At 39.5% G+C, this 13,434-nt stretch overlaps 1 protein-coding gene across 5 annotated transcripts in view, besides 1 other annotated feature; it reads left to right on the top strand.

Annotated features, from left to right (window-relative positions):
* NKAIN3 (sodium/potassium transporting ATPase interacting 3) overlaps positions 1-13,434 on the top strand; it is a 750,799-nt gene that overhangs the window by 421,213 nt on the left and 316,152 nt on the right. The window lies entirely within an intron of this gene.
* Positions 805-993: a silencer, noted in NCBI's record as "fragment chr8:63583430-63583618 (GRCh37/hg19 assembly coordinates)". NCBI's record gives its function as "represses an EF-1alpha promoter that drives an FKBP-Casp9 reporter gene in an ReSE screen in phorbol 12-myristate 13-acetate-treated (for megakaryocytic differentiation) K562 erythroleukemia cells {active_cell/tissue: K562(+PMA)}" and the evidence as "EXISTENCE:reporter gene assay evidence [ECO:0000049][PMID:32094911]".

The following is a 13,434-nucleotide window of genomic DNA, read 5'->3' on the forward strand; positions in this document are numbered from 1 at the left end:
ACACAATTAGAATCAAGTCTATACCATAAACAACAACAAAAAACCATTGACGAGAAGAGACATAGAGAATGAATACTTATTATAAAAAACACTGTACCCCATTTCTTGCTCACGGATTAAAGAAATCAGCCGTTCTCTCTTATGAGGCCCATTTTTTATTATGTGTGTGTGGCTTCAGGGGCTCAATGTATTTAAATGAGAGAACAGGACAAGCATGGGAGTCCCCAGGCATTTTCCTCTACTTGCAATATAAAGAACATCTAATCATAGACATTTCCTTTAAGAAATTGTTTCTACTCAGTACCCGTGTCTTGAAGAGGATAGGTTTTTTATCCTTGAGATATACATTTCTTGACCCAATACTTTACACTTCCGACACAACGAAGAAAGCAGTTACCATACTGTTAACTCCTTTGGTATTCTCTATTTGGGGAGGCAGGGATGTAAGTAAGGTTCTCTGGATTTATAAATACTGTAGTGGAAATGTGTGCTGCGTTGGTTGGTTAGAGAGTAGTCTCTTCCTAATAGGCCCCAGTTTTCTTTTGTATATGGCCTTTTCACCATTGCATATGGTCCCCTTGGGAAGGCAGTTCAGGTGCTCACTAGAGAAGGTAAAAGAGACCAGGTTCTTTCCTTCCTGAGTAAGCAGGTGACCAAAAGGAATTCTCTTCTGAGGCTTCAAAAATAGGTAAGTAAAGCCTTGACAGAGGCAATGGTGGCAGATTTCTTTTAAATCCCTGTGGTATGGGGGTCCAAAACAAGTTAAAGTATGGAAATGGATTTCTGTTTCCTATTTTTATGTACACATACAAGCACACACACACACACACACACACACACACACACACACACACGTATACACAGGCAAAACCCAGTGAGGTATCTGTTCCAGTCCTCAAAAATTGAACATTTACAGTGAACTTGTGTGAAAAAATAGTGGCATGACAGATGTTTTTATGTAAAAAAGAAGCTATATCCAGTGGCTTCCCATAAATTCCTATTGTTTTATTTAAGATTCTCAGCACTTTTGAAATGGTTTAGCATGCTGTCTTCATTCTCACATATTTGAAACTCTTAAGTCTGTGTGGGAGACAGGTCTCCCAGGATGAGACCAGATGAGAACAGACCACCTCTTATCCTACTTCCCTTGATGATTTGAGATTTTTTTTTTGAGAGCCTACATGACAACGTTTTCCTTTGAAAAAACTTGTTTATAGCCAAGAACATTCTGTTATATCCTTCAGGCATTCTTGACAAACAATAGTTTCAGATTTAGATGCTTAAACATAAAAACTTAGTGCCGAGATTGTATTGACTTGAGAATAGAGATAAGTAAGCACAATAAACATCTCTTCTTCATGACATCAGAAAGTTGCTTAAAGTGTTAGAATTATTTTAAAAGAATGAAAATATGATATTTTTCTGGGTAATTTAATACAAGGAAACTATGTACTTTATAATTTTATTACTTTCCTAGATTTTTATTTTTAAAATGAGGAAATAAAAATTAATGATAAGTGCCCTTTGTTTTCCAAGTAGTATAAAACTAAACTAAACTTAAATAATACAGAAGGATTTATTAGATTGGGGTGTGTGTGTGCACGTGTGTGTCACACATGAGTCAGGCTTCAGGCATAGTTTGATTCTTGGGACTAAATTATTACTGGGGTTCTGTCTCTGCCTCTTTGAATTTGTCTTGGTTTTTTTTCCTCCTTCTATGGTATGTTCTTTAGGATAGCTTCCCACATAATAGAAAAAAATGACTTCAGCAGTCCCAGGTGTGACTGTCATACCCACATATCATCTATAGGAAGTTAACTTACCTTTGTCCTCCAACTCCAAGAAGAAGACCTAGGATTCGGTCTGACTGGTCTGGATTAGCTCACATGCCCACCGGAAACCAATCACTGTAGCCAGATTGCTGGGATGTGCTGATTGACTTGTGTAGGTCATGTGTCCCATCTCTGGAGCAATAATGGCCTCAGCTTCTCTAAAACCACATGAATCCCTAAAAGAAGCTATTGGGAAGTGGAAAATGCAGAAAAGTACACAGCTCAGGCAACCAACAAGTGTCCAGTCACCTCCATTGTATTTCCACTGTAAATTAGGAACAAGAACTACAGCTAGATGTGTGGTTCAAGGTTCACCCATGCCATCCATCACTTTGTGCAACAGCTTTGGTGTGTGAAGCAACAGAAAGAAGTCATATAATGGCCAGGGAAAACTATTCATTGTGGCTTGTCCCTGAATGTCTCAGAATGTTGGCCTCATGAGTGCCCTAGAAGTATTAGACCAAGAAACACTAATCCTCACTAACAGGACTTATGAGACTCTGATGTAGAACTCAAAAAGCCTGTTGATCCAATAAAATAAAAACATCTTTGTTTTCAAAGTGACTAGATACTTGCCAGCTATGAGAAAAGCCACATTATTATCAGAAGGATGTTTACTATACTTGGAACCAAAAGAGGCATGGTTAGTTTTATATTTCAAATATTTATGGCATCAGGTCATTATAGTCAGATGTCCTCACCTTGTCTACAAGATGTGAGTGGATGAGTCCTTGATCAGGCACAGGCTTAGACAGGCACTGACCATGTTTGCCTCATTGTCTCCCCCATTCCTAGGCTTTATGGCTGCTAATACCTTTTCCTGAATGACTCTTTTATTCTCTAGATAAACTTAAACCTTAAATTAAGTCTTTTTGTCTAGGATTTACTCTATCTCTTTATATTCATAGTATGTGTCCATTTAAAGTTTAATTCTATACAGTCAATTTTATCTAAAAAAATTGATTTTTTCTCCTATATACCATGTAAATGTCATACTTTACAGGTTTTTATAGAATTAAATACTTTAATACATGTAAATGGAAGTAATACCTGTTGGGTATCTACTATAGCCAACTGGTTTACTGGTCATAACACATGCCCTATGTTATCTTATTTATACTTTGCAATAGCCATGTGATTTTACAGAAAAAGATACTAATGTTCAAAAAAGTCTAGCAGCTTTCTCAAGGTCCAACGGTTAGTAAATGATGAGGTGGGATTCAACTCCATCTTTGTCTGATTCCAGCGTCAGAGGTCTATGCATGTAAACACTGTGGGGAAATATTAAGATCAAGTTTGTGTTTCTCACAATTCCTTATTAAACTGCTGAAAAGCAAAATTCTTCATGTCTAAAGACAATGGCAATTCTTAATTCATTATTTCAAATTTAATTGAAAAGTATTAATTTAGTTTATTTTTTCTATGCATAGAGTAAACAAGTCCCTATAAAGCAGAATGTACAGTAATGACCAAGAAACCATCATGAAAACAGAAAAGAGAGAAGTGTTTCAAGAAAACCAAGGGTACAATCTTTATGACTTGCCACACATGAAAAAGGAAGGGACCAAAGAGATGGAAGAGCTAAAGTAAATAGCAGAATATCTACCTAGGGTCTTGTCTCTCTTAGGTGACCTCCATAGTGTCGGGGAGCTAGCTATAGTCATGCATCACTTAATGACAGGGATACATCCTAAGAAATGTGTTGTTAGGCAATTTCATCATTATGCAGTCATTGAGTGTTCTTACACAAACCCAGATGGTAGTGCCTACTACATGCTTAGGCTATATGGTATAGTCTGTTTCTCCTAGGCTACAAACCTGTACAGTATGTTACTGTACTGAATACTATAGGCAGTTGTAACACAATGGTAAGTATTTGTGCATCTAAACATATTCAAACAGGAAAAGTACAGTAAAAATTTGGTTTTATAATTTTATGGGACTGCCATTGTATATGCAGTCCATTGTTGACAGACATCATTCTGCAGCATATGACTGTATTTGAATGTGTTGCTCTCTGGTTTAAAACCTAGAAATCACCTGTGAATTACCTCTGGCACTATAAAAAATAATTTCCAGGTTCTAGTGGAAGGATTAAATCAGTCTTTTGTTTGTTGGTGTGTTGGCAGGGAGGGGACTTATTTATGAAAAGCTCTCGATGTTACTTTGTTGTGAAGTTATGCAGCCAGGGCTAACTACTGGGGTAGAGAATAATGTCCACCCTTCTTAGCAAACACACACAAATGCCTGCAATCTGAACCTCCTCCACCTATCGCTCTGGCCACATCCAGACATATGGAGGAACTCAAAATTCCCCAAATAAGTCGGACTCTTGTGGCCTGGGCCTTGGCTCATGCTGTCTGTAGACCTGGAATTCCTGCCTGCTGCCTGTCTGCCAGGTGAACTTATGCAAAAAACAGCTCAGCAGTCCTTGTTTATTTCCTCAGAAGCAGATGTAACTGTTACCTTCTTTATAAGATCAATGCTATTTTTGCAAACATCCACCATCCTGTTCTTATTTGTCCATGTGTCAGACTCCCTCTACTAATGAAGCTCTTTGTGCCCAGAACTGCCACAATTTGCATTAATTAAATGAATGATTGCAGGTATCCTGCTTGGGGATGGGGGCGAGAGAATGGTATCACTGTTGTTAGAAACACTAAACGTAATAAATGGCAAGGAAGTGAATAATTAACTACTTAATTGCAATTAAAAGTTTCTGGTGCCTGGCTATAAATTTGCTTAACATGTGGAGGGGTAGATTTTGATTGGACATGATCAGCTAGTACCAGGTGGACAATCAGGCAGGGATGCCCAGCAAATCTCTGTAAATGGGGAGTGAGCTCAGTTGTAGAAGATATTCCAATGAGAGACTAGCCGGAAGGGAAGAGGCATTAGGATTGTGAAAATCCTTTAAAATTGTTACCTACTTTACAGAGAAGAACAGATGGTCTTGCTCTGCTGCGCCAATCACAAAACCGCCACGTAAGGATAATTAAAGTGGGGGACAGGTCTGGCATCCAGTTCTTCAGTCAACATTCTCCTCCCCAAATCTTAGACTAAATTGTAAGACACACAGGCGTCCACATGAAGCGTCTGCACAGGCTTCCTTCAAGTGCTGAGGAACAGTGTAGTCTTTGCTCAGCTTTTGTCTGGGAGCATGGAAGTTAATTATATTTTTCATGTTAATATTTTGGAGTTTCAGTATGACCCTCTGCGAAATGAGGTTATGAATATGTAACCTACCTATCTTAAAGGATTATTACATGCATTAATATATGCCAAAGAGCTTTGTAGACTGCAAAGTGATGTAAAAATTAGAAGTGATTTTTTCCCACCGTAGCAAGACCTTTATCCTGTGTCAATTCAATTACATTGCCAAATATCACTGATTTATGCTCCTTTATTCATGATCTATACACCCATATTTATAAATCACTATGATAGGTATTCACAAAAATAATTGAATAATTTATTGCAAATCAAAGTTAATGCTTTTTCTTATGGCCTTCTATTTAGACAGAGTATATGCATTTTTCTTCTGACTAAAGCTTGAGAAATTCATCCAAACTTTATGGTGGCCTGATTTATGCAGGTGATGGAAAGTAGCAAGAGTAGGGCAACCATATTTAAACCACCCACACCAGTGGTATGCCAGACACCTGTGGAAATTCCATGCTGGGCTTTGAGGGCTGGGGACTCTAAGATTCCAGTGTGGGCTGGGAAGGAAGAACACCTGAACCAGCAGCTATTGTTCCCCTCTCTTGCTCACTGACAGCTGCAAGGTACACTTTCAGGACCACCAGGCAATGGCATGCTGGTGGCAGAGGAGGTGACACTCACCTCATAGGAAGTTCCTTATAAAAGCAGGTGGACATGTCATCTCAGGCTCATCAAATCTACCTGCCATCATAGATAGACCACAGCCAGGCCAACCATGCCTTCTAGTATGGACCTTGTTATTTTGAGTTTGCTTTTAAATTAGAAAAGGGGATTTATTTGACATTGTTTTCTCTATTATCCTTTATATTTATTTAAAATACCCACCCACAAACAATACATTCCCTGCTATTCTGTTCCAATTATTCTCTGAAGAAGATTATAAGCAAAAGAGCAGCTTTTCCATAACATTCAAAAATTGCCTCTTACATGATAGGCAATGAGCTAGATTTCTGCAGGAAGGATATTTCATTTAATGTTCACAAAAATCTTATGAGGTAGCTAGGTAACATTGATCCTCACCTTACAGAAGCTCAGAGAGAGTAAGTAACTTGTGCCAAGATACATAGTTAGCAAGTGGAAAGACAGAAATTTATACCCAGATCTGTCTGACTCCAAAGAACACACCTGTTAGCTTAGAACAGGACAGATATTGAAAGTATACTATCGGCCAGGTGCAGTGGCTCATGCCTGTAATCCCAGCACTTTGGGAGGCCGAGGCAGGTGGATCACGAGGTTAGGAGGTCGAGACCATCCTGGCTAACACGGTGAAACCCCGTCTCTACTAAAAATACAAAAAAATTAGCTGGGTATGGTGGTGGGTGCCTGTAGTCCCAGCTACTCGGCAGGCTGAGGCAGTAGAATGGCGTGAACGTGGGAGGCGGAGCTCGCAGTGAGCGGAGATTGCACCACTGCACTCCAGCCTCCGCGACAGAGCAAGACTCCGTCTTAAAAACAAAAACAAAGTATACTATCTTATGGGTCAAATTAAATTACCAAAGGTTTAAAAACTAAAAATATCTCTAACTTTGTGGTTAAGTTATATGAGGTTTATGTATCCATAACCCAACTGTGGTGTAGTATATTAATAACAGTCTTTTTTTTTTTTTTTTTGAGAAAGGGTCTTGCTCTGTCACCCAGGCTTGCATGCAGTGGCATGAACATGGCTCACTGTAGCCTCCGATTTCCAGGCTCCAGTGATCCTCTTACCTCTGGCTCCTGAGTAACTGGCATGACAGGTGTGCATCACCATGCCAAGCTAATTTTTTTTTAACATTTCTTCTAGAGACAGAATCTTGTCATATTGCCCAGGCTGGTCTCAAATTCCTGGTCTCAAGCGATCCTCCCACTGCAGCCTCCCAAAGTGCTGGGATTACAGACGTGAGCCACTGCACCGGCCCAATATAGAAATTTTTAAGTATGATGCATAAGTGCTGGGGTCTTGTATATTTTTTGGTTTGTTTTGAATTTTTTAAATATTCAATCGGTCTGATTTCCCAGGAAATAGACTCTGAAATGGACATTGTCTGGAGGACTACTGAGGTGCGTTCTCAGAAATAGCACCTGTAAGGAAGGTAGGGACGCAGGGTTAGCAGAGATCTGAGCGGTGATATATCAGGTTGGCAAAAACAACAATTACTTTTGTACCAACCTATGATTCACAGTAGATAATACCTTGTGCCATCCTCGGTGAACTCTTCAGCTGGCATTAACCTTCAGAGTAATTCATCAAGGCAAGGATGCTGGGCCTTTGCACTCTCTTATAGAGTATTGGATGTGAGAAGGGGGCATAACTCAGGGATACACTACTTTCTTCCACAGAGGGCAATTCTTGGAAAAGGACCCCATTGAGAGCTATGTGGTGCAGTAGAGATAGCAAGAGTGCTTTGATCATGACAAGGCCATGGGAGGCTCATTGCAGCATGCACTGTAGTCCCCTGTGTCCTCAGGGTCCACTTGAATCATCTAATATGTTCACCTAATATGGAACCAGCTCCAGGATGCTGGATGGGCTCATTTCCTGGGGTAACTCATAAAAGGAAGGTCAGTGAGGTAAGCGGCAGGCTCCATGGCTGCACTGATTCTGAGGTCACACCAAAAGCTAATTATATGCCAATCTTAAATCCTCTCACTTCCGCTCTTCTAGGTGATTTACCTGGTAGAATGACCCACCTGTGCATCTCTGATGTCTAGGACTCCTCCTTAGGCCATGGTGCTACACTTGAAGATGTACCCCTAACATTGGGCCTAACTACAAGATAGTATGTCCCCCTATCCCCTGGTCTAGCTAGGCTGGTCTCTGTTGTGGTTTGCATTTCTTTATTTGACTCGATTGCTAGTTTTACTCCCTTTCTGAGTCCAAACATACCAAGATTCAAATTCAGTGAGAAAGCTTAACACACTCAGTAATATTTCTGAAGTGTCTACCCTAGACTAGGTCCCTCACTGATGACCACACCATAATCTTTGGGAGCTGTGAATATGTTATTTTGAGTGGCTAAAAAGACTTTGCAGATGTAATAAAGGTTAGGGACCCTAAAATAGGCAGATAGTGGAGTCATTTTTCTCTTCTCATTTCCTTTAATGCTTCTTCTGTGCCTTTGCTAAGATGTTTATCACTTTCTACCTTGAATTATAGGCACTGAGGTATCAGTTACCTTCTCTAATAGGCTGTAAGAAACTTGAAGGAAGAATCTACTTCTGCCTTATTTGTGCTGCAGTGAATTACACTGGGTAGACATTTTTAAAAAACTGTAGATTGAGCTTATGATATCATGCAATCTTCGAAATAGATGAGTAAGAGATTTGATACGGGCTGCTCAATTCCACCCAATACTGACATTTTGTTCTCTCCCACTCTTACTGGTTGCATAATAACCAACTATCGAATAGCTTCTTAGATCATTACAATATTAATAAAGTTCATTAATTAAAATGGCCCAAGTCACCAAGATGAATATTTTATAGGCCAGTCATTTCAAACATATTAGTACCATCATTATTATATATTGATGTTATATTGATAATATAACATCATTATATTATATCATTACATTGATAATATATCATATTATATTGATAATATAATATAATGATGTATTATATATTATCATTGAATAATTTATCAAAAATATCTAGAAAATAGTTAATCCATGCTATATAAATTTTTTTCTATTAACCTAGGTATATAGATTGTTGAAAACATTATTTTGAGTTAGTGTTGTGATTTATCACATAACACATGAATACTAATTTAGCTAATAAATGTGTCATGTATCTAGTGAATAAGGCTGGAACACAAACAGGACATTTTTGTAACATTCCATACCAAGTGGTAGCTCTTAAGATATATGAAAAAAGGAGCAACAGTGCCTTGTGGTAAAGGATGAGTAACAGGCCAGAACCAGAGACCTTCCAGAAAGAGATAATTAGAGATCCCAGATTGGGACTGACAAGTTTGAAAGCCATGCTGTTCAACCCAGACAGGTTGAGAACAGAGAAAATCATATATTCCAATATCCAGACTAATAGCAGCAAAGAGGTCATTTGTCAGAATTAAAGGGGCAGCACAAAATGGCAGAAGAGTAGATTTGAGGATTCACTAAAAATGGGAACCTTGGAAACTGAGGCCATTTCTGACAAGAATCATCATATGCTTCCCATACAGAAGTAAGCAAAGCCTAGGGGACACATCCAGAGTTTGTAGTGGGAGGTGAAAGGGTGCATCTAGCAGACGTGAGAGACAATAGGACAGAAAAATGGCCAACTCTTTGCAGCACAGTAAGTAGATGGATCCTCCAAAGATGACCTCATCCTAATATTTGGGACTTGTGAACATGTTGCCTTGAATGGTGTATTAGTCCATTCTCGAACTGCTATAAATAAATATCTGAGACTAGGTATTTATAAAGAAAAGGGATTTAATTGGCTCATGGTTCCATAGGTTGTACAGGAAGCATAGCAGCTTCTGCTTCTGGGGAGGTGTCAGGAAATTTGGAATCATGACAGAAGGTGAAGGGGAAGCAGACACATCTTACATGGCCAGAGCAGAAGGGAAAGAGAGAGAGCAAGGAGGTGCTACACACTTTTAAACAACCAGATCTCATGAGAACTCATTCACTATCATGAGAATAGCAGGGGTGGTGTTAAACCATTCATGAGAAAAACCTCATGATCTAATCACCTCCCACCAGGCCCTACCTCCAACACTGGGGATTACAATTCAACATGATATTTGGGGTGGGGACACAGATTCAAGCAATATCACATGGCAAAAAATAACTTCGCAGGTATAATAAAGTTCAGGGACCTTAAATAATAATCCTGGATTATCTAGGTGAGCTTTATCTAATAGTCACATGATCCTTTAAAAGCAGAGAATGTCTTCAGCTGGGAGGAGAGATTGGCAAGATGCAGTTGAAGGGGAGGTCAGATAGATTGAAAGCATGAGAGGGACTTGACCCATCATTGCTGACTCTGAAGGTGAAGAAGACCTAGAACCAGGGAATGCAAAAGCCTCTAGAAGCTTAGAGTAACCCCGGGCTAACAGTCAGCAAGGAAACTTGGAACTCAGTCCTACAAGCACTTGGAACTGAATTGTAGCACTAAACGAAATGAGCCTGGAGGTGGATTCTTCTCAAAGCCTCCAGGAGAAAAACACAGCCCTGCTGACATGTTGATTTTAGATTTGTGGAACTCTAAGCACAATTCCAGCCAAAACCATCTGTTTTCCTACCTGCAGAGCTGTGAGATAGTAAATTTGTGTTGTTTTAAACCATTGAAATTATGTCAGTTGTTATAGCAGGCATAGAAAACTAATATAGATAGTAAAAGACATCTTATAATTGACCCATTCATGACTTAAAAAGGATTTTGTCTATTAGTCTCTCTTTTACTTTGTTTCCCTGTTTAAAATATTAAAATGTCAAGATACTGGGAAATTTAGTATTATGCTGTTATCAGAAATGGGACAAAAGTGACTTCATTATTTCTTTGGACATACTCTGTAGAACCCTTACATTATATGATAGGATTTTCTAATGTCTTCTGCCCTAAAATTCAGTAAAGAAAAATGTAATGCGTGATTTGAAGGCTGGTGTGTGTGTGTGTGTGTGCACTTTAATGTCTCTTTACAAAAATGCTTCACCAAACTTTTATACTAAATCATTTTGAAAAATAATTATCCACTCAGTTATATAAATTTTCCTTGCTGATTTTTATTTAATTGTAACCAATTTTGCTTCCAATTATAGCAATTGGTATTGTACAGGAAAGTTATAAAGATAAGTAATTGTTTTTAGTGAATCGAGCAACCTCATATATATTTTTGAGATTTCCTTCCTATACTTTTATGAGACAGTAGCAACTGAACATAAACTTTTGTAATATGAAATTAAAATTAGAATTATTTCAATAAGGGAGAACAGCAATTCTGGTGACTATTTAGCCCCTTGATGTTGAATCATGCCATACCACACCTGAATCGTCCCACTTGATTAGAGCAACCATTCAAGATACTCAGTGCCAATCCTGTCTCAATAATCTGTACTTGCTCTGAATATCCATTTAAAAAGTGGATAAAATGCTAATAATGCTTTAGAAATTGTGTTTGTAACTGCAGTGTTATTAAATGATGCCTTAGACTAGATGTATTTTGGAAAGAACTTTGAGATTATTGAATGAGAGGTTATAGTAAATGAACTTTCACATTCCCTTTCCCTTCCTAAAGAAAAAATATTCATTTCATGGATTTAGTCTACCTTTGAGATTCTTAGTCTTTTCTAGGGAGTTCTAGACATAGAGTTGATACTCAGTTAATTTTTCTTTTATTCTCAAAAACATAGGCTTTCAAATTTAATTTCCTTATTTTTTCAGATTGTGGTTTACCAGTAAAACTATTCTGGAGTGGTATAAGAAAAACCAGACCGTGTGGCCATTTATCTTCTTTTTGATTCAAAGTGATTAAGTGGGTTGAAGGCAGGGGAGATGGACTTTCAAAACAGAGTGTTAGAAAATCATGTTATTTTTATGTATTTGTTTAATAAATAAGTTTATGTATATAAATCACTAAAGGGAAAATCATTCTAATGATCTTCTATGTCATTAGAATATGACTTTATATATACTCCCAGATAACATACTTGAATATTGGTCATGCCGCTTTATAAATGTATAATCTTGAGTAATTATTTAAACTTATCTTGGTCTTTAAAATTAGGATTATAAGAATCAGGCTCAAAACTGCTCTCAGAGGCAGGCTGCCTTTGAAGCATCTGCTTTCTTAGACAAATTAGGAGTTTCAAATGAGGAAAGAAGAAACCAGGTTTTTAAAGAGATAGAAAGTAGGAAAATGGTGGATAGGAAGCAGGACTAAATTGCAGCTCCTACTCGGAGGGACAGAGTAGCATGTGGAGACACATCATGAACTTTTGCTCCAAGAACTACTGCAGGAACATACCAGGAAAGCCAAGAGAATCCACCAACCCTTTGAAGGAAGCAGATTGCTCCTGGACCCGGAGAGACAGCCCAAATACTGTGAGTGTCCAAAGTGTGGAAGTAGGAAAAGGGGATCGTTCCCCCTTGAACACACACCCTCACTGGGAAACCTAAAGATCCAGATTACAGGAAGGACTTGACCTTACCTGGAGATGAGATAATTCAGAGAGCCAAGCAAAATACAGGAGTAGAGGAAGCAGCAGGAAGAGCTCTGTGGGCTCTCTCAGTCCCCAGGGAAGCCATTTCTGGTCTCACAGGGGTCCTTGGGGAGGGCTGCCAGGGGAACTGGGAAAAGACCACAGGAAGAAGGAAGCCTCCAGCTGAACTCTGTAACAATTCCAAACGATTGCACAGTTTCTTGGACAGAACGTGGGGGAGGGGTTGAATACAAAGTGCAGATGTGGGCAGGTGGGGAGGCATGAAACCTGAAAGCTCTGCTTGCTTTCTCAGTCAGGAGGCTGGTAGCCTGGGGTGCTGCTCGCCCACTGCCTGGAAACGAACTAGATGCTTTTGAGGTGGAGGGTGGGGAGTGCAATATGGGAGTGAGACTGGCCTTTTAAGTTGCATGGGAGTGGGGTGATGCCTGTAACTGCCAGCTTTCCCCCACTTCCCTGGCAACCTGCATTACACAGCAGAGGCAGCCATAATCTTCCTGGGAACATAACTCCATTGACCTGGGAACCACACCCCCATCCCTCAAAGCAGCTGCAGCAAGCCCTACCCAAGGAGAATCTGAGCTCAGACACACCTAACTCTGCCCCAACCTGATGGTCTTTCTCTACCCACCCTGGTAGCTAAAGACAAAAGCCATATTTTCTTGGAAGTTCTAGGGCCCTGCTCAGCACCTGATCCAATTTATAATTTCCAAGTAGTAATTTGCCAATTATGTGTCAGGTTTTGTTTGTTTGTTTTTTTGTTTGTTTGTTTGTTTGTTTTTTGAGACAGAGTCTAGCTCTGTTGCCCAGGCTGGAGTGCAGTGGAACGATCTCTGCTCACTGCAAGCTCCACCTCCTGGGTTCATGCCATTCTCCTTCCCCAGCATCCTGAGTAGCTGGGACTACAGGTGCCTGCCACCATGCCCGGCTAATTTTGTTGTATTTTTAGTAGAAACGGGGTTTCACCGTGTTAACCAGGATGGTCTTGATCTCCTGACCTCGTGATCCGCCCACCTCGGCCTCCCAAAGTGCTGAGATTATAGGCATGAGCCACCACGCCTGGCCACTATGGGTCAGTTTTTAATGATACTCGCTGTTGCTTCACAATGCAGTTGGTACATGTCTTTATCAAGTTACCAGGAAAACAATACTAAGGAGTTACCAAAGGTCAAATTCTCATGCAGCAGGAAATGAGATATTATTAGCTCTTTATGTGCAAGGAGTAGCTAGTT

The sequence above is a fragment of the Homo sapiens genome, chromosome 8, assembly GCF_000001405.40.
Source record: "Homo sapiens chromosome 8, GRCh38.p14 Primary Assembly".
NCBI lineage: Eukaryota > Metazoa > Chordata > Mammalia > Primates > Hominidae > Homo > Homo sapiens.